Genomic DNA, 22005 nt, shown 5'->3' with positions numbered 1-22005 from the left:
ATACCTATTCACCATCAAGTCTTTATCACTGTTATCAGAATATCTGGAAATATAATACATCTTTTGAACTAGCCTACCCATTGCTGGTTTCCCTTTATACTTACCATTGAGTACACCCTAATATCCGGTGATAAACATTCATCACCCTATCTTATTTTTCAAATATCTAGAATTATTTTTTTTTGAGACACAGTCTTGCTCTATCATCCAGGCTGAAGTGCAGTGGCACAATCATGACTTACTGCAACCTCTGCCTCTCAGGCTCAAACAATCCTCCCACCTCAGCCTACCAAGTAGCTGGGACTATAGGCATGGGGCACCACACCTGGATAGTTTTTCATTTTTTGTAGAGACGAGGTTTTCCATATTGCCCAGGCTGGGATATCTAGAATTTCATAATGTGTGACAAAAAACATAACTCTTGATGGTCTGATGAGATGTTCAGTATTTTGAGGGATTTTAGCCATTTAAAGAAACTTGTGCCACCATTTTTAGGCTTCTTTTAGTACATGGCACTTATTTCCCATGCAGAACAAGACATGGGCATCTTTTCTTCTGACATGGATTTACTTCTTATAAAGTAACTGGGAGACAAGCACATTTGAGTAAATCTCTTGTTTGGAGTTTTCTTTTTTGGTCTCAAATATTAAGTGTATAAGCTCTGGCACTTGATTTCTTGTTTGGGGAGAATGCTGAGAGACTTGAGAGACGGCGTGCAAGCTTGCTTTTGAGTTTGACTGCCAGGGCTGGGGTATCTAACTTTGGTTGATAATCACTCTCATATTTGAGACAAGAGCAGGGGCACTCACTCTAGAAGTTATAAATGATATTTCAGCCTGGATTGATTTATCAAATTGATAAAGCCAAAAATAATCCATTCAGAGTGATTTTATTACTTCTTAAAAAAGATTTTAAATTTTGCTTCTATTAAAAAATTACCATAAATGGAACATAAAATAAAATATATTTTTTAACATGTGGAATATCTGACATTTAACTGCAGCTTTCCCCTTGTTATTATGAGCATGTAAAAGAATTCTAGTATCTTAATTTTTAAAAATGTAATGAAGATTTAGAGAATGGCTAGAATTTTTGTTTTTTAATTTAACTGTAAGTATTTTGTAAGTGAATAAAGCAGGGTTTTGTTTTTCAATAAAAGCCTTACCTTAAGGCTTGTTTATTAACATATAAAGTTGTGGAAATTGGCTTTATTGGTTACAAACAACACATACTTTCAACATTTGGAAAAAAATGCTATTTGTTTAGCATTTTGGTTTGTAAAGACAGAACTTTTATTTATTTATTTATTTTGAGACGGAGTCTTGCTCTGTTGCCCAGGCTGGAGTGCAATGGTGTGATCTCTGCTCACTGCAACCTCTGCCTCCTGGGTTCAAGCAATTCTCCTGCCTCAGCCTCCTGAGTAGCTGAGATTACAGGCATGTGCCACCACGCCCAGCTAATTTTTTGTATTTTTAGTAGAGATGGGGTTTCACCATGTTGGCCGGGCTAGTCTCAAGCTCCTAACTTCGTGATCTGCCCGCCTTGGCCTCCCAAAGTGCTGAGATTGCAGGCATGAGCTACTGCACCCAGCATAAAGACTTAACTTTTAAATGTATACCTTTAAGATTTTCTTGTAGAAAGATCCTTACATAAGTTTTCTAAAGCTAGAGCCTTTCTTAGTCTGCTTTCCTAACCAAGTGTGAGTGTAACAAACTTTTCACCCAAGGATGAGTTACCTGTCTCATGTAGATGGACTATGAGCAATGTAGGCCATTGCTTCATTATGTGAGATAGAATATGTTCAGTTATTTATTTACAGAATCTATGAGTGCTTGCCTATCATTGAATATGTGCAACAAATCCATAGGGTGAATGCTATGAAGCTATTTCCGTCAAGGGAAAGCTATTCACCAAATAGAGAAATCACAGCTATCATGTTTAAAGGTATACATGCATCTATAGGAAAGGAATAGGGCCTCCAGTGCACATAACATGCCATTTCTTTGTGTAGGTTGCACTGGGGAAAAATATTTTAAGAAATATAGGTAGTACTCATAGCAGATAGGAATAGCAGATCATTTGCTTCTTGCTGCTCACATTTGCTAAGACTCTTATGAAGATTTTCCCTGGGCACATGAATCAGTTTAATAATGATTGCTGCCAGTTGGTGGCTAGACATCAGACTGCCAGCCTACTCAACAGTGTTGCCATCTGCTATTTGGATTCACAGTGTGTTGCTGCTACGCACCACCTCATTAAGAACGGGACCCTTGTGAGCCATAGACAGTGGCTTATTCAAGCGAGCGAAGCAAACTCCTCCCCAAGCCAAATTTGTAGAGGCTGCATGCATCTCATCTTATGTGGAGATTGCTCTACGTTGATCATGCAGTCTGATAGCTCATTGTCTCTGATCACTTAGGTTTAATATTTCAAGCCAGCTCCTTGTTTCAAATTAGTGTCAAAATACAAATATGATTATTTCAAAGACTTGTAAAAACTACTCACTCCAATTTTTTTTGGTAATGCATTCATATCTTAAAGTGGTATTAGTCAGTGGCTTGCCAAACAAATATTTTAATAAGTTATTATAATCCACTGGGCTTTTCTGGATAGATCTTCCAGTCCTGAAGATTTTTCAGTTTTGTAGAATTCCTACTGCAGTTTTTATTTCTTGGAAATGGACTTTCAAAGGCTTTAATCATATTTTCTCTTTTCCTCTCCCGTTAAATATCTAAAAGCAGCTGGAATGCAAAACATTTGTATCTGTCAGATAGACATGAGTGCATTTTACCTGACAACCACGGATTATCTTAGAGTTTTAAACACTGTTACAGAGAAAAGAAAATTTATTTGCATAGGTCACATAATATTTAGATCCTCTCCGTAGCACCTCCATAGATAGTAGATCCTGCAGTACTTTAAGCATTAGAGTTACACATCAAAATTAAGCTAGTTTCAAATCTCAAAGGAATTCATAAGCTGAGATTTAAGTCTCGGGTACCCCTCCCCTTACTTTCCACATAGGTACTTAGTTCTCACACCTGCACTTACCAGCATCCAGAATATATTTCTTAAGGCCTACTCTTGTTAGGTACTCTATGAAAAAGGGTTTTAGGCCAGGCACAGTGGCTCACACCTGTAATCCCAGCACTTGGGAAGCCCAGGCGGGCGGATCACTTGAGGTCAGGAATTTGAGACTAGCCTCACTAACATGGTGAAACCCCCATCTACACTAAAAATACAAAAAGTTAGACAGGCGTGGTGGTGGGTACCTGTAATCCCAGCTACTCGGGAGGCTGAGGCAGGATAATTGCTTGAGCCTGGGAGGCAGAGGCTGCAGTGAGCCGAGATTGCACCACTGCACTCCCTTCCAGGTGAAAGAAGAAGCCTCTGTCAAAAAAAAAAGGGGGGCGGGGAATGGGCTTTGATGGGCAAACAAAATTAGAAAGTGGGGTGTCTCAGACAGTATTCTCCAGGATGCAGATTCTGAGATATACTTTAATTGCAGGATATTTATTAAGAAGTGCCTTTTGCCAAACATTTGTTCAAAGAGAGAGAGAAGCGGAATTGGGAGAAAATGAGTTATAATGTAGGTCCAATGACAGCCTTGGCCAACCCCACAGGGAGCTCTGGAGTTAAAACGGCCCTCGGAGATGTCCTCAGATGGGCAAGAGAACAACTTTGTATCTCCACACTGATCAATCCTTGGCTATGGGCCACTCCACAAAAAAGTGTGACCTTAGGTGAAGTGGTTTTCTACAGCTATGCCAATTCCTGAAGAGGGCTGACAGCTGCAGGCTGCCTGCTAACATCACACCCAGCAAGTGGGGAGCAAGCCGTTCTTTGAAGGGGGATCTGGGCTGCACATCATACTACTGCCACATGTAACACATCAAATCATCTCTTTTGGAGAGTTGCACTAAACATTCACATACGAATGGCTTTGAGAATCTGGCACTGAAGCAAATTTCTAATTTAATTTTTCTCCTGACATCAGTTCATATCCTATGGAACTAGTTTTCCACAGAACATAATTCGATAAACGTCTCCCTAATCTTACAGTGCCTTGCAGGCTGTTAAAAGAACTGCATATAGATGGTTTGCTCTGGGCTTGCCTGCCCTTCAACAGGGTCTATTGGTTCTGCCTGAGAACGTTGGTGTTGCTATATTAGTTAAGGACCTGCTATACAATGGCATGTATGTACTGTGATGAAATTAACCATCACACCTTCATAAGGGTCAGATGAATGAATATGTGATGGATATACTGTGATGAATATGTCATGAAATAGTGACAATTCACTAAGGCCACCAAGAATGAGCCTGTGAGAAGGTACCAGTATCACTAAGTGCAGTAGTGGCTTTACTCTTTAGACCAGGGCTGATGGTAAATGAGGTGGTCACAGAGCTGGGATTGTTAATATGATTCAGGGGTAATGGACCCTCAAGTAATAGAGGGCTCTGGAGGACTAGTGCTTAATTACCAAAAGTCAAGAGGCCATAATTACTATAACAACTGGTGAAATTGGAGGGGTAGTTAAGGGGGTTTGATTCACAGGGTGTTTAGGAGATAATTAATTGAAAGTAACACCCCTATAGGCAAAATAGATGGGCATCTAACAAGAATGCTGCTTAACGCCTATAACCAAATAAGGCACGAATGGAACCGCACTGGCTCCAATGACACATCACAATCCCTTTCTCAGTTCCTAGACCTGAAGCACTTTTCAGGTAAGGAAGCCACAGATGGAAGAACCCATAGGTGGCTGGGTTACTAGGTCACAGGTCACTAGGAGGAAGAACCCTGCTATACATGTACAGACTTTGATGAAATGGCAAGTTCTTCCCCAAATAGATTTATGACTATATGCTGGCAAGGAAGAATATCCAGACATTTCCAGGTTTACTGGGCACAGAGCCTGAGTTGACAATGATACCTAGTAATCTTCCTGGCAGCTAGGCCTGAATAGAGCTGTGCAGCCCAAGGGGTGGACTGAGCCAGCAGTGGATATGCACCACTGAGATCTCTTGCTGTGGAACGTAATTGACTGGGGGGGTCCCCGCTACTGCTCTCTGAATCCATTGATACAGTCATGCCAAGGCTACATTTCCCATGGGTTGTTTCCATAAGAATAACAATAACTGAATGAAGAAGGTATACTAATAATGCAGGCCTATTCCTGTGAGGTAGGGGGCTCCTCCAATGGGCGACTTTGGTTTGAGTGTTCTTCATCAGCTGACCTTAAACTTTATCGGAATTGTGCTACAGCCTAAGCTTTCTGCTACTCAACCCGCCTTTCTTCCCTCTCTCCTTCTGTATTAGTCAGGGTTCTCCAGAGAAACAGGATCAATAAAACCTATGGCTCTATCAATCAATTAATAAGGATTTATAATCAACCTATAAGGATTTATCAATAAATAAACCCTTATTTATTATAAGGAATTGGCTTACACAATAATGGAGGCCGAGAAGGCCCCAAGTCTGCTGTCCGAAGGTCTGAGAACCAGGAGCACTGATGGTGTCAGTCCCAGTTCAAGGGCAGGAGAAGATGGGTGTCCCAGCGCCACAGTCAGGCAGAAAATTCAAGCTTCCTCCACCTATTTTATTTGGGTCCTTAGAAGACTGGATCAAGCCCATCCACACTGGGGACTGCAATCTGCTTTATTCAGTCCATCAATTCAAATGCGAATTTCCTCCAGAAAAAGCTTCATGAACACAACCAGAAATAATGTTCGATCATATATGGGGCATCCTGTGGCCCAGCGAAGTTGACATGCATAAAATTAACCATCACACCTCCATGGAGGCCAGAAATTTTATGTATTCTGAGGACTCTGTCTCTCTGGCTTCCTCTCCATTTCAACCCTCAGGCATTCTTTTTTTCCCCAAATAAATGTCTTGTAAATCTATTTTTTTTTTACATGTGTTTTTTTTGGAGTACTGGAACTAATAAATTTGGACTTTGTTCTGCAGGTAGTTTAGTTACTTACAGATCAGCTTTATACTATTGAGGCTTGTTTTTAAGCTTTTTGTGGGGGTGAGGAGCAAGTGTAGTGTAGTTTTTAGTCAGGATAGTTTAGCCCTACGTATGTAACACACAACCTTTCTGGGATCTTTAGCGAATGCCTGGTTTTCAGTCAGGACTCTCCACTGTGGCTGGATGGAAATTAGATATTTCCCAATCTCACGCTAATTTTGAGAATTGTTAGGCTTAGTGTTCCGCAATGTACACAATGGGGTCTCTACATAGATTTCTGGATTTTTTTGTCTACCTTCCTCCTTGTTGATACTTTGTCCTGAAAATTCAAGCTATCTCAGTATCAACTCCAATCTTCCTCTCCTCAACTCAGCAAGACTCTGATCTCCTGCGATGGGATCCAGAGTGCTCACCTCAGAAAGGCAGGGCGATCGGAGGTCTCACTTTGTTTCCCTGCCTCAGCGATCAAATTGTATAAACTTTTTCCCTGGCTTCTGGAAACACTGATAGCCAACCTTTCGGTAAAATTTCTAACATATGTACTTAGAGCTTTAATATGCTAAGTATTTAATATGCTAAGTATTTTCTTTAAAATTCATTTCAAAATATTTTTGCAATTTTGCCGTGATTTATTTTTTGGCTCATGGGTCATGAGGTGTATGTTCCTTAAATTAATGCATTTTGGAAATTTTTTGTTACCTTTATGTACTTGATTTCTGGTTTAATTCATACTCTATATGATTTCAATCTTTTGAAATTCTTGAGACTTGATTTGTGATCCAGCCTAACATGCGCCCCAGAACACATGGTAAATGTTTTGGGGTATACTTTAAAAGAACATGTATTCTGATGTTTTTGAATGTAATATCTTATGTCTTATTCATATTTATAGTACCAATACACAGCACATAGTAGAAACTTAACATATATTGAGTTAAATAATTCAAAGGTTTTATCCGATTGGTGGCAATTCAAGACCAAATAAGAGAGGATGATGATGACATCACTATTTCTGTTAAGACAGGGCCTCATACAACATACAGGAATGTCCAGTTGTCAAGTCATGCAGTTTCTCCCCTATTCTAACCAATGTTAATGCCAATACTTTGTGATGAAAATTATCCCAGTATTTTTCCTCCTATGTTTCCACCAGTTTTCCCTTCATTGATTGTTAAGATTTATATCACTAGAGCTATTTGACAGTAGGAAACAATTACCTTAGGAAAAGTTGGTGACATTGGTCTATAAAGGTCACGGAGACATAAGAAATGGTTATTTTTTCATTTTTCACCAAACAATTCACGATTGTTTCTAAGATTACAAAAGATTAGACGATAGCTAATATTTCTATGCAATGGTCAAATTTTTCAAGTAGAATCATTTTTAAATTTTCCAAGTTCCAATGTCACTTTCTCCTTGAACACGACTCAAGGTCAAAACTTATAAATGTACACCTTCTAGTACATTTAACTTTCCAATTTAACCCTTCTGCCAACTTTATTCTGGACACTGAAGTTTTGATTATAAAGAAGGGAGGAAATAGATTTCGATGAGTCTAACAGTATATTACGTAGGCTTATAAGATGCTTCTTGGGTACAGTCTCACATCTTTTCAACCTCTGATTCCAGTCATAGCTCTGGTGAAGAGTTAACGGGAAGATTTTACCCTGCTCTGTGCTGACACCGTCTCACTTCGAGCATGCACCAAGACTCTAGCTTCCTGTCTTAAGACCTCTCTGATGCAGCAATGTGTGATGCTAAGGTACCAGCTGGACTGTCAGCTAGCTCTTTGCAGCCCAGAGGGTTGGGGTGGTGGAGGCAGTGGGTTAATGCCCCAAAGGAGCAGCCCTCAACACACAGGAGGTGGCTGCTGATGGAGAAATACTTCTCCTTTCTCCCTGAGGCAGACAGTTCTGAGATAAAGTTTAAGAAGAATCCTGAGAAAGTTCTGCATTATGTAGCCATTAATAGGGGTGGACCACTTGATAAGAGCAGTATCTGGTTTTGCTCGGACTTAGTTTCCCTTTTCCCCAGTTCACTCCCCTATCTCTCATTCCTGCTCCTGGGTGTTAGACTCATAAATAGAATGTGTCTACCTTTGTCTCAGGCTCTGCTTTCAAGAATAACCTAGATTAAAACAGTGGGTAAGTGCGTTGTTGGTACATTACATAATGCAGGGATGTAATTTTCCTTGACTCTGTGCATCTACAAAGAAACACTTATTCAGATGGCAGCATAGTTGAGGATTTCCACCTTTTTCCTTTTTGAAAGCTCATGGTCCATCCTGAGCCTGACCACCTAAAGAAAAAAAAGTTGTCATAATTAGGTTATAATTAAACAGGAAAATTTCTTTGTGAGGATGGCTCTAAACATTTTTTTTCCTGTCTGAGGGAGTCCTCAGCAATTTGGCTGGATATTTTCGTCTAATATGGAAGAGCCCTCAGTCTACTTAATCATGTAAAGCTTTTGTTGCTTTGGAAACAAGCATATTAAATTTCTTATTTTCCCTGGTAAAAAAGCTGGATCTTGGCTGGGTGTAGTGGCTCACACCTGTACTCCCAGCACTTTGGGAGGCTGTGGAGGGTGGATCACTTGAGTCCGGGAGTTCGAGACCAGCCTGGGCAACATGGTGAGACCCTGTCTCTATTAACAATATAAATTTTTTTTCAAAAAGTAAAACAAACAAAAAAGCTGGATCTTTTAGTGGTATAATTCTTTTTGTTAAGAAATTCAAACATAAAAAACATAAATTACTGGAACACTATCAGGGCTTTCTTCATTCATGAAGGAATGCTCTGAAAGATACAGGGAGTTATTAGAAATAAATTGAGATTGCCCATATGCTAGCACGAAGTGAAAACGTCAACAATGATAATTTTTTACTCATTTGGTTCTGAAGACACTTCAGAGAACAAAATTGATTAAAATCCCTCCTTATTGAACCTGTATTCCAGTGGAACAGAAAGTTAAGACAATAAACCAAGTAAATCATTACAGTACATTGAATTTAAAATAAGGGCTACAGCCAGGTATGATGGTGCATGCCTGTAATCCTAGCTACTCAGGAGGCTGAAGCAGGAGAATTACTTGAACCCGGGAGGGTGGAGGTTGCAGTGAGCTGAGATTGCTTCACTGCACTCCAGTCTGGGCGAGAGAGTGAGACTCCATCTAAAAAAAAAAAAAGGTGGGGGGGAGGGGCGACAGATGAAAATAAACAAGAGATGGTGTATGGCCTGAATTATATACCCCCAAAATTCATATGTTGAAGGCCTAACCCCTAGTACCTCATAAGGTAACTATATTTGTAGAAATGGTTTTTAAGGAGGCAATTAAGTTAAAATGAGGCCCTTTGGATGGGCCCTAATCCAATCTAAATGCTGTCTTTATAAGAGAAAATTTGGGCATGCAGAGAGACACCAGGGGCACTCACCCACAGAGGACAAACCATGAGAGGACACAGAAAGTGGACAATGGCTGGCCAAGGAGAGAGGCCACAGGAGAAATCAAACCTGCTGCCATCTTGATCTTGGACTTCTAGTCTCCAGAGCTAAGAAAATAATTTTCTGAGGGTTAAGCCACTGGGTCTGCGGTGCTCTGCCATGGCAGCCCTGCAAACTAATCCAGATGCTGAGAGAATGTACAAGTTTTTTGTTTGGTTTGTTTCATTGGTAGGTCTCACTGAGAAAAATGACATCAGAACAAAGACCTGTGGAAGAGTCAGTTATATAAATATTTGGGGGCAGGAGCATTCTGGAAGAGGAAAAAGCAATCCCCAAAGCCCTGATCTGGAAGGAGGCCAGGGAGGTTTGATACATAGAGCATTAGAAGATGAGGTTAGAAAGGTTGGAACAGCGAGGCAGTGGCAGATCACAGGAGAGAAGGGTTCTCAGTGGATGCAGGGCCGTACTGTGCACCAATGGGATATTTTGAAAAACTGTGAGGAATTTTGGCATTACTATGATTGGGGTGGTGGTAATGTTAGTGGGCAGGCAACATTTATGTTAAAAGAATAGCCATGCTCAGGACCCTTCCACCCAGCAAAGTATTTTTTCTACAATCAATGTGACTTTTAAATGCCCTGCTGCTCATTCATGGAGATGTAACACTTTATAACCTTTTATGCTAACTTCTAAACTCCACTAATGGCAAAATAGGTTATGGGATCAACTCTTCATTAAACAAGTAAACATTCTGGATAAATATATTTGATCATATTTGGGGAACCTTTGCTAATACTTTTTCAAGTATTTTTCTGCCTGATAGTTTCTCTCTTTGACTTCTAAAAGTCCAATTTCATGTAAGTTAGATGTCTTGACATTATTTCATGGGTCACTGATGTTCTGTTTATTATAAACTTTTTTTTTTCTCAGTGCACTTTAAATTTGGATGATTTCTATTGATCTATCTTTTTTTTTGAGATGGAGTCTCACTCTGTAGCCCAGGTGGAGTGCAATGGTACAATCTCAGCTCACTGCAGTCTCCATCTCCCTAGTTCAAGCAATTTTCCAGCCTCAGCCTCCCGAGTAGATGGGATTATAGGTGTGCACCACCACACTCAACTAATTTTTGTATTTTTAGTAGAGATGGGGTTTCACCATGTTGGCCTGGCTGGTCTCAAATTTCTGACCTCTGACCTCAAATGATTCGTTCGCCTAGGCTTCCCAAAGTAGGCTGGGACTACAGGTGTGAGCCACTGTACCTGGCCCTCTATTGACCTATCTTTAAGCTTCCTGATTCTCCTTACTGTTGTCCAATCTACTGATAATCCCATCAAATAATTTCAGTTATTATAATTTTCAGTTCTAGGGGTTCCATTTTGTTCTTCTTCTATTAGTTGTATTTCTCTTGAAATTCCCTGTCTTCATTTATCATATCTACCCTTAGTAAGAATCTTTAATAATTTAAAATAGCCATAAATATCTTTAAAATTCCTTTTCTACTGATTCCAACATCTGTAGGTCTATTTCTATTGATTTATGACAAAGGTGATGTTGCAGAGCAGTGGGGAAAGGACTTTCTTTTCCAAAAAAAACTTAGGTCAGTTGGATAGCTACATTAAAAAAAAAAAAAAAAAAAAAAAAAAAAACTAGTCCTCACTTCACACCATATGCCAAAATTAATTTTAGGTAGTTAGCACATCTAAGTGTTCCAAGAAAAAACTTAAGGTTCCAGATGGTAACATAAGAGAATGCCCTTGTCACCTTGGGGTAGACAATGATTTCTGACAGGTTAGCGAAAGCACTAACCATGAACAAAGAGTGATAAATTAGACCTCAATAAAAATAAAAGATTTACCTTTATCAAAATCTAAAAATGGGAAGTTAAAATGCAAGCGTTTAATTAGGAAAAGGTGTTTGTTTGCAGCACTTATCTAGAATATACACATCAAGTAGAAGAAGATTAGCCAATAGAAAAGTGGGTGAATGCCTAAAAGGCACTTAACTAAAGAGGATATCCGAGTGGCCAATAATCACATGAAAGATGCTCTTTATCTTTAGTCATCCGAGAAATGTAAATTAAAACCACATAAACCCTAAATGTTGGAGAGGACGTGGAACAATGAGAACTCTCATCATACAATGCTGGCAGGTCTATAAATTTGAAAAACTGCTTGGCACTGTAATTATAGCTGGTTATGAGCATACCTTAGATATGTATCGCAATAGAAATGTGTATCTATGTGAACCGATTCACAGAATAACGTTCACGGAAGTATTATCTGTAATAGCTCCAAACCTGGAAAGAACTCGAATGTCCAGTATCAGCATAAGGGACCAGTCACAAAAGACCTCATATCATATGGTTCAATTTTTGTGAGATGTCCAGAATAGGGAAATCTATAGAGCAGAAAAATTAGTGGTTGCTTGGGGCTAGAAAGGATAGGGAAGTGGGGTTGCGGGAGTGATAGTTAAAGGGTATGAAGTTTCCAGGTGATGAAAATTTTCTAAAATTGACTGTGGTGATGGTTGCACATATCTGCGAATATGCTGAAAGCAATGAATTGTACACATTGAATTGCACACTTTAAGTAGATGAACTGTATGGTGTGTGAATTATATCTCAATAAATCTGTAATTAAGAAAAAATAACAGTAGAAAGAATAAATTGTGTATACTCATATAACTGAATTTCATACAGCATAGAATAAAATTGTAAAAAAGACTTGTTACATGCAACGACACGGATGAATTCAAATATAATATAAAGGGAAATAAACCAAATACTATAAAATATTTACCAAGTAATTCATTTCATGTGAAATGTCAGAATAGACAAAACTAACAGGGGGATGAAGAATGCTACTATTAGTTAATTTCTTGAGCTGAGTTGTGGTTGCCCGGACATGTTTGTGTTAATCTTTGAAAGTTTACTGAACTGTATTTGTAATTTGTACACTTTTTTGTATGCTGTACTTCAACACGTTTTATTAAAAATATTTCTAAAAATCCAAATGTTCAGTAAGTTGTCCTATAATATGCATTAAAAAAGAATTAAAAAATACACAAGCATTTCAAAAGTTATTTTTTGTGGGTTAGGGTTATGGAGAATTTCTTTTCTGCTCTATACGTCTCAGAATTTTCCAAATGACCATAGTAGACATATATTACATTTATCACTAGAAAAAAATACTATTAAAATACAATTGTCTGAGATAATCTTGTACTACTTTTACACTAAACTAATTTAGTTCAAATGTGGGGACTTCAGCTTTTGCTCCCAGATGAAAAGAGCTTGTCATTTTGGAGCAAAGGAGGGCGTGGCAGTTGGTCGGAGTGTTTCCTGGTGGCCTAGGAGACTGCCAGAAACTCACCAAGGGCCACCGGCCTAGGGGGAGGAGCAGAGGTGCAGGTGCAGGGAGGGATTCAAGAGACTGTGAACTAAACCTGGGTGGGTCCCAGTCCTCACAAAACCTGGGTCCTAACTGCAAAACTATGGTCGGGCCTGGGAAGGGGCGGAGGACTCACTGGCGCTCTAGCCTCTGTGCTGGGTGAATTAGTGATTAGGCTCTAATCTTCACAGTCCTCATGATTCTATTTTTGTAAGGCCAGCAGCTAAGAGTGGTTTTTACATTTTCAAAACAAAGACGAATACGCTACAGAGACAGTTCCAGGCCCAAATTCTAGAGTATTTGCTTTCTGGCTCCTTACAGAAAAAGTGGGTAAACTTCTTGATTAGAGGGTCTAGGCAGAAGAATTCTAAGGTATTTAAAATTTTTACCTGGGAATGCGCTTGCTGGTGAGGCGGAGCCGGCGTGAAGCCAGTGTGCCCAGCGGCACTGGTACCACGCGATGCTGGATTGCCTAGGCTGGTCAGACGGAGCAAATCGGAATCCACGGAAGAAAATTCACCTCTTAAGGATCCAGTCCGGAAAGGGATGGCCGGGCTCTTCCTGGGCAGGGGTGCCCAAATGGATGAGGATGCTCTCTGCAGCCCTCGGCGGATCGCAAAGGAGCAGGGCTCCGGTCTTCTATCTGGGAAAACATGGTTGTCACTCGTGGAGAAGCCAACGGAGCCCCTGCGGAGTTTTCTTTCCTTTTCTCTGCTGCAGGCAGAAGAAGCGCATTGCGCGGTTCGCCGGGCTGTCTGCAACTTTGGGAGCTGCGCCGCGTGGGTGCGGCCAGCCGACCGGCGCGTGCGCAGTGAGTTCTCAGCGCCTCCCGCCGCGCAGGCTCGGCGTTGGCCTCCGCGGCCCGTGCGAGTGCGCCCTTCTCGGGTCCCCTAGGTCGCGGGGCAGCCGGGGCGGAAGGGGCTTGTTCATTATTTTGAGAGTTTGTTGTGAACGTCATAACCTTTCGTCCTTAAATATTGCCGATACTTGACCTACGCAAGAGACAATGTCATGTGATTCAGCCTAATATCTCAGTATGTATCCCCTAAGAATAAGGGATTTTTCTACATCAGGGTTTCTCAACCCCGCGCTATGGACATTTTGGGCAGGATGAGTTTTTGCTGTCTGTACCCGTAAGGTGGGGTGACGGGGTGGGGTGGGGGTGTCCTGTGCTAAACAATCACTATTTAGCAGCATCCTTGGCCTCTACCCATTAGATGCCAGTAGCAACCCCCTCCCCCAGTTGTGACAGCCAACGATGCCTCCAGACACTGCCAAACCCAAACGGTGTGGTTGGGGGGGTTGAGGGGGGGAGGGGTAGTGGTGAGGGTTGGGGGAAAAAGGAGAGGTACAAAGTTGCCTCAATTGAGGACCACAGGATCACAATGCACATCATCATACTTAGGAAATGTAACATTGTTATATTACAATAATCTATATTTCATATTTGAATTTCCTCAATTGTCCCAAAATGTCCTTCTTTACCCTGTAGTTTGTAAAATGTAAATCCGAGATTTAACAAGAATCACATAGTGCATCAATAAGAACCACATATTGCAGTTGTCAAGTCTCTTTCGCTTCCTTCAATATAGAGCAGTTCCCTAGCCTTTTTTGTTTGTTTCTCCTGGTATTGACATTTTTGAAAAGTCTAGCCCGGTGGTCTTCCAGAATATCCTTCAATTTGGAGATGTCAGATTGGTTCCTCATTATAAGATTCACGAGTAATAGATATGTACACACAAACATATATGCAGGAATTCTACCTAGGTGATGTATCCAATTTTATCTATTTTCAAATGACTTTTTAGCTGTCATAACATTTAATTTATAAAGCACCTCCCTGACCAGCGATTTGCAATATTTTTATCACATACGTAAATTTCCACATTGTAATTGGGTCTAAGATATATTTTCTTTTTTCCCCGCATTGATCTTATTGTCTACTTATGGGCTAATATACTGTTTTTATTAGAGACTATATTTCAGTATCTGGTAGGGCTAGACTGCATCATTGCTGTTTTCTTAAGTGTTTTTTTAATGCTGGGTTATTTTTTCATGTTAACTATAGAATATAGCCCCATAAAAGTACTTTCAAAAAAAAAATCTTCTGCATACCTTTTCAGTTTATGATGTTGCATTTTCCTTTTGAAAAGCAAGGTTTATTTTTTCTCGTGCTCAAGTTTCAGCTTTGTGTCTTTCAAGGAAGCATCATAAAGGTTTTTCACTTGTTAAGTTTATTCTTAGAGTATTTCTCTTTTTTGTTGGTATCGTAAGTGGGATTATCTCTTCCACTTTTCCTTATAACAGCTAGATTCTTACATAAATGAAGGTACTGATTTCTATGTCTAATTTTGTATCTTGCTACCATATTGAATCTCCTGTTGCTTCTAGGAGTTTCATGTTGATTGTATCTGTATCTCTTTTTACACTTTTATATAATTGCAGTGATTATCCATTTTGAAGTTCAAATTGCCCGTCTTTGGCCATTTTTGGCTCCTTTGTTTATTTGACACAAGCTCGAATGTCTTGATAGCTTACTTGCTTTCTGACACTGTAAGAGTTCCAGTCTCATATTGTACATTTACTGCCTCAGACCTAGAATCAGCCATTTCTCAAAGGTGTCCTTGTTGCTTCCAGTGAAAAAGGTATTTGGATGCTACAGTCTGCACTGAAAGATGTTCATGGTTAAATGGCTTATCACTTCCCAGACTTTTCAACACAAGATCTAGGAGAGATGTAGTTTTTCAAAGAAAGATGAAAATAAATAATAAATTTGTGTTGATATTCCAATTCTAATAGAAGGTTATAGAGTTTTTACTTATTTGATTTTATATTGCATCTTTTTTCCCCTATGCTGAAAATCATGGCTCCTAAATGATATTAACAGAATTATTTACTTTTCTGCATAATATATATAATAGTTTCCAAAATCTACCAGTATTACAACTATTAGTAAAAATGTTAGATGTAGTTAAATACAATTAGGCTTATTTATCTCATGTTGTTTTAAAATCTAGGTTGCTTGCTGGGTGCAGTGGCTCATGCCTGTAATCCCAGCACTTTGGGAGGCTGAGGCAGGTGGATCACTCAAGGTCAGGAGTTCAAGAGCAGACTGGCCAATTGCGCCACTGCACTGCAGCCTGGGTGACAGAGGGAGACTCCTTCAAAAAAAAAAAGAAAAATCTAGGTTGCTCAATTAAAAAGAAAATTAAATCCAAAATCCAAAATGGAAAAGAACCTTAAATATATCTAACGTTTTCTTTTTGAGTGGAATATCTAATTCATAATTTCATTATTTATTTAAATTATCAGTTTTGTTCTGAACACTCTTTAGCTGCATCTTGTCAACTCTAATGTCATGTTTTCATTTTTTTCTAGAAATTCTCATTAGCAATTGATATTTCCCTTTGAGACAAGCTATGTTTAATAGGAAAATTTTAAATTTCAAAATGGGGCTTTCTTATGTTTTGATTATAAATTTCTGGTTTTATCATATTATGGTGAATATTTAGATCATTTTTATGTGATTTACTGGGGCATACATGTCTGTATTGTAAATTAGAGTCAATTTTCTAAGTGTTTTTGTATTTTTTTGTCTAATTAAGAGAAATGTACTATAGTCTGCTATTATTAGTGTATTTCAATTTCTCTTTGAATCTCTTATAATTCCTACTGTATGAAAGTAGCTGCTGTGTTATTCACTGCATACCTTTTCATAAATCTTTTATTTTCACTGGGAATTGTAGCCTTTAGGATTATAAGATGTTCTTTGTCTCAATAATGGTTTTTGGTCTGAATTTTATTTTATTGAATTGCAAAATCTCAATTCTTTCTTTTTTTAATTTGCATTTTCTCAGTAGAACTTTACCCATCCTTCCTTTCATTGTTAGCATTTCTGAATTGTTTTGTTTTAGGTGGGTCTTTGTCTTTTATATACAGCATAGAGTTGGATTTTCCTTTGAAATCAACCTGTTTTTCTTTTTGTTTTAACACTGAGGTTGAGCCCTCTGTTGGCTGATATGTTTGGTCTCAGTTATCTCCTGTATTATATTTACCTGTGTAATATGTAGCATATTTGATGGTGATACGTGCTATTGAGGAAAATAAAGGAGAAAGGGTGCATAAAAAATGCTGGGGAGAATATTCTATTTTAAATAGTGATCAGGGAAGGCCTCACGGAGGAAGTGATTTTTGCACAAACACTTGAAATAGGCAAAAGAATGAATCATTTGGATAAATGAGGTAAGATTGTTCCTGACAGAGGACAGCTAGGGCCAAGGCCCTGAGGCATAGAGTAGCTAGTGTGCTCTAAGGAACAGCAAGGGAGCTGGTGTGATCAAAGTTGGTAAGCAGGAGAACAGTAGGAGATAAGACCAGAGGATCAGATAGGGCCCTGTCAGTAGGGAGCAGAGAGTCCCTCCTTCAAGAGAAATTTTGGTACCAGATGTTGAAATAATACATCTGCCATACCACAGTAATAAATTAATAACTCTATGAGAACACATAAATAACCCTGGGAATTCCAGCCTAGGTAGGAGAGGAAACTAGGCTTGCGGGTATGATATTTTGGGTACAACTCAAATTATGCATGAAAGTAGCTTCGTATTTGCTAACTTTGGGGGTTGGATTACTAAAGCACCTTTCCCAACCCATACGATTGCAGGAATCCTTGACTGTTCTTCAAGTCTCTCATATTTCAGTTTGTAGTTCATATCCTACCTCCAAACATATCAGATATAGATAACAACTATAGCTTTTGGCTATTTATCTGAAGCTGTACATTTACAGAGGAAGAATTTTATTGCAACATTCATATTAATGAAAGGTATTTTGACTAATACATGTTCAAAAAGCATGAAAACACTAAAATTCTATACTCAGAAGCTTGATTAAAGGACAGAAAATGAGAGATTTTTTTGAATTTTTTAAAAAAGTCAAGTATTAGTTTTTAAAGAGTTTTTTGTATTTTTTGTTTTTCTTTTTATAGGAAATCTGTTTTGACAGAAAACTATATGGCAAATGTGTGCGTGTGTGTGTGTGTGTTGGGGAGGACTAGGGATGAATTCAGTCTGTAATCTAGAAAAACTGTGTCCAGGATAGGAACAGAGAAGGGACAAACTTTATATGTATACACAGGATTACTTTTTCCTTTTCATGATGTGTTTTATTTGGAAGCATTTACATGTTCTCTTTCTCTTTTCCTCCTTTTTTTTTTCTCCTGCACCTTTCTTTTTCTTAAGCTAAGCTGTCACAGTGAAATACTGTGACTAAGCCACAACTCATATAGAAAACTGAACGGTGCATTGTAAAATAGGACACAAAACAAAAGACTTCATCCGAGAGCTGAGATCATCACGAGTACACAGACCCACTGCAGTAATTCAACAGTGTTTCTCAGAGCCCAGGACAATTTTTTCAATTCGTGATATCCTACTGCCCCCTGCTGTTCATGTGGAAGCACTGACTACAGAAATTAAAGTTTTCATAACATTGCACAGGTTTTAGTGCAATGTTAGCGTGCTATCAAAGAAAGTTAAGTAGTTCAAAGATTTAAACAGAGTAATTTAAGGAATTGCTTTCTAAAAGGCTGAATATCAAAGAAATTACAAAGCAACTTTCTCTACTGCCTGATATGTTGAAGAGAACTCTAATCCAGTTATTTGGCTAATGAATCCGGTTTCGTTTTTAAGTTTCTGAGGGGAGCAGAGCAGAAGGCAATTGAGGTAGCTTAGAGATAAATTAGTAAAGATAGAGCAGGGAGTAGATGGAGCAAATGAAAGGCAAAATGTGCAAGAAGGAGGGGGTAATGAATAATTTACATCCTCGAGGGTAAAGCAGTTCAGTCCTGAACAGATCGTTTACATTCCTCAGGGGGGTCGGGCAGAAACGGGCTCCACGGAAAAGCCCGGATGGGCCATTTGTGAGCCTCAGCTCTTCTGCCTCCTGCTCCTGGATTTGATCATGGAAACCTCTCAGGGCAGTTAGGATGAGTTGGAGCCTCTGAAGCAGAGCAGAGGCACATCATCTTTAGAGCTGATTTCCTGGGCTTCTCTGCAATTTGTAAAGAGCTCAGGGGCTGTCTCCTGGATGTAAGTCAGCCCATGTGCAAATGCGTATGTGTGAGCATGCGAGTAGGATGTTATATGTTCCACGTTTTAGACTCTGAGGGCTGCTAGTTCCTGCATGGCAGACCTTCCCCTTGGGATTAACTAATAAGGTGCTAGCGTTCCCCGTCACTCAGCAAAAGTAGTTAGAAGCTTGGGGCCTTGCTTCAGCATTTGTTTTTTTGCTGGGACTCTTTCTCCATGAGGAACACGACTGGAGAAGAAACGTTCGATATTTAGAAAATTAAATGTATCCATGTTATGATAGATGTAGAAATCCAGTCCAAACTGCTCGTGAAAGATGTAGTTTTTGCTATAAGTACTATAGGAGTGTCACTTCTAAAACTTCCAAAGTTCCTACTTCAAAGGCACAATGATGGATTTTAAAAAATAAAACTTTGAGAAAACATTTACATGGTTTATTTCAGGTAACAATTAATAACCTGATTCCTTAATGCTTGGGGCTGTTACGTTCATAGCATTGCTTTTAGTGCTATCATTTCCTATTTCTCTTGTATGACATATTGTATTAGTCTGTTTTCATGCTAGTAATAAAGACATACCTGAGACTGGGCAATTTACAAAAGAAAGAGGTTTAATTGGACTTAAACTTCCACGTGGCAGGGGAAGCTTTACAATCATGACAGAAGGCAAGGAAGAGCAAGTCATGTCTTACGTGGATGGCAGCAAGCAAAGAGAGAGAGCTTGTGCACGGGAATTCCTCTTTTTAAAACCATTAGATCTCATGAAACTTTTTCATATCATGAGAACAGCATGGGAAAGACTTGCCCGCGTGATTCAATTACCTCCCACCAGGTCCCTCCCACAACACGTGAGAATTAAAGATGCGATTTGGGTGGGGACACAGCCAAACCATATCATTCCTCCCCTGGCTCCTCCCAAATCTCATGTCCTCACATTTCAAAATCAATCATGCCTTTTCAACAGTCCCCCAAAGTCTTAACTCATTTCAGCATTCACTCAAAAGTCCACATCTGATACAAGGCAAGTCCCTTCTGCCTATGAGCCTGTAAAATCAAAAGCAAGTTAGTTACTTCCTGGATACAATGTGGGTACAGGCATTGGGTAGCCATTCCAAATGGGAGACATTGGCCAAAAGAAAGTTGCTACAGGCCCCATGCAAGTCCGAAATCCAGCGGGGCAGTCAAATCTTAAAGCTCCAAAATGATCTTTTTTCACTCCATGTCTCACATCCAGGTCATGCTCACACAAGAGGTAGGTTCCCATGGTCTTGGGCAGCTCCGCCCCTGTGGCTTTGCAGGGTACAGCACTCCTCCTGGCTGTTTTCAGGGACTGGCCTTGAGTGTCTATGGTTTTTCCAGGCACACGGCACAAGCTGTTGGTGGATCCACCATTCTGGGGTCTGGAGGATGATGGTCCTCTTCTCACAGCTCCACTAGGCTGTGCCTCAGTAGGGACTCTGTATGGGGGCTCTGACCCCACATTTCCCTTCCACACTGCCCTAGCAGAGGTTCTCCATGAGGGCCCCACCCCTGCAGCAAACTTTTGCCTGGGCATCCAGACATTTCCATACATCTTCTGAAATCTAGGTGGAGGTTCCCAAACCTCAAATCTTGACTTGTAAGCACCCACAGGCCCAACACCACATGGAAGCTGCCCAGGTTTGGGGCTTGCACTCTCTGAAGAAACAGCCTGAGCTGTACCTTGGCCCCTATTACTCACCGCTGGAGTGCCTGGGACTCAGGGCACCAAGTCCCTAGGCTGCACACAGAATGGGGACCCTGGGCCTGGCCCAGGTAACCATTTTCTCCCAGGCCTTCTGGCCTGTGATGGGAGGGACTGCCATGAAGACCTCTGACTTGCCCTGGAGACACCTTTCCCATTGTCTTGGGGATTAACATTCAGCTCCTCGTTACTTATGCAAATTTCTGCAGCCAGTTTGAATTTCTCCTCAGAAAATGGGTTTTTCTTTTCTATCACATTGTCAAGCTGCAAATTTTCCAAACTTTTTATGCTCTGCTTCCCTTATAAACTGAATGCATTTAATAGCACTGAAGTCACATCTTAAATGCTTTGCTGCTTAGAAATTTCTTCTGCCAGATACCCTAAATCATCTCTCTCAAGTTCAAAGTTCCACAAATCTCTAGGGCAGGAGCAAAATGCTGCCAGTCTCTTTGCTAAAACATAACAAGAGTTACCTTTGCTCCAGTTCCCAACAAGTCCCTCATCTCCATCTGAGACCACCTCAGCTTGGACCTTATTATCTATGTTGCTATCAGGCTTTTGGTCAAAGCCATTCAACAAGTCTTTAGGAAGTTCCAAAGTGTCCCACATTTTCCTGTCTTCCTATGAGCCCTCCAAACTGTTCTAACCTCTACCTATTACCCAGTTCCAAAGTTGCTTTCACATTTTTGGGTGTCTTTTCAGCCACACCCCACTCTACTGGTACCAATTTACTGTATTAGTCCATTTTTCATGCTGCTGATAAAGACATACCTGAGACTGGGCAATTTACAAAAGAAAAGGGTTTAACTGGATTAGTTCCATGTGGCCGGGGAAGCCTGGGGAATTCCTCTTTTTAAAACCATCAGATCTCATGAAACTTACTATCAAGAGAACAGCATGGGAAAGACTTGCCCCCATGATTCAGTTACTTCCCACTGGGTCCCTCCCACAACACGTGGGAATTCAAGATGAGATTTGAGTGGGGGCATAGCCAAACCATATCACTTATTAATATTTATTTTCTCAAAGTTATATTCTCCATTTGGGCAGTGCTAAAGATGAGAAGAAACACAGGGCAGGCTATGTCTTTAAGACTTTTATAGTAATTTAGAAAACTGTAGAACCATAGCATGATAATCATGGAAGAGTGAGGTGGGGCCAAGAGTAAGAAAATAATCTCCCCATTATCTTTTATTCTATCAGTTTATCCTATCCCCTCCCCCGCATCCCATCCACATCCCCTCCCATTTCTCCGTTCTACTCTTTACTATTTCATTTTATTTGTATTGATATTTAAATTTCAAATCAGGAATACTGGCTATTCTGTTTATGTAATTTTGCTCAATCCATAGTACAATGTTTGCATATAGTTGCAATAAATCTCTGT

General features: G+C 39.9%; 2 long non-coding RNA genes across 3 annotated transcripts in view, besides 1 other annotated feature; one reads left to right on the top strand and one right to left on the bottom strand.

Moving 5' to 3' along the window:
* The window catches only part of DUBR (DPPA2 upstream binding RNA), an 86273-nt gene extending 72681 nt beyond the window's left edge, over window positions 1-13592 (bottom strand). The window contains exons 1-2 of one of the 2 annotated variants that reach the window (NR_028301.1): window positions 13197-13592; window positions 5412-8276 (exon numbers count right to left, since the gene is read on the bottom strand). This is a non-coding gene — a long non-coding RNA (DPPA2 upstream binding RNA). Of the gene's footprint in view, window positions 1-5411; window positions 8277-13196 lie in introns of those variants that run through there. The other variant, NR_028302.1, reaches the window with a different exon arrangement.
* Window positions 13593-13645: 53 nt separating this feature from the next.
* The window catches only part of LINC00882 (long intergenic non-protein coding RNA 882), a 130849-nt gene continuing 122489 nt past the window's right edge, over window positions 13646-22005 (top strand). Inside the window, exon 1 of the long non-coding RNA NR_028303.1 lies at window positions 13646-13841. This is a non-coding gene — a long non-coding RNA (long intergenic non-protein coding RNA 882). The remainder of the gene's footprint in view (window positions 13842-22005) is intronic.
* Window positions 18301-18350: a silencer, noted in NCBI's record as "silent region_14585". NCBI's record gives its function as "represses an Ori minimal core promoter by ATAC-STARR-seq in GM12878 lymphoblastoid cells {active_cell/tissue: GM12878}" and the evidence as "EXISTENCE:reporter gene assay evidence [ECO:0000049][PMID:35858748]".

Source organism: Homo sapiens, chromosome 3, assembly GCF_000001405.40.
Source record: "Homo sapiens chromosome 3, GRCh38.p14 Primary Assembly".
Classification (NCBI taxonomy): Eukaryota; Metazoa; Chordata; class Mammalia; order Primates; family Hominidae; genus Homo; species Homo sapiens.
The sequence above is the reverse complement of the archived record's forward strand: the minus strand, read 5'-3'. Positions and strand labels throughout refer to the sequence as shown.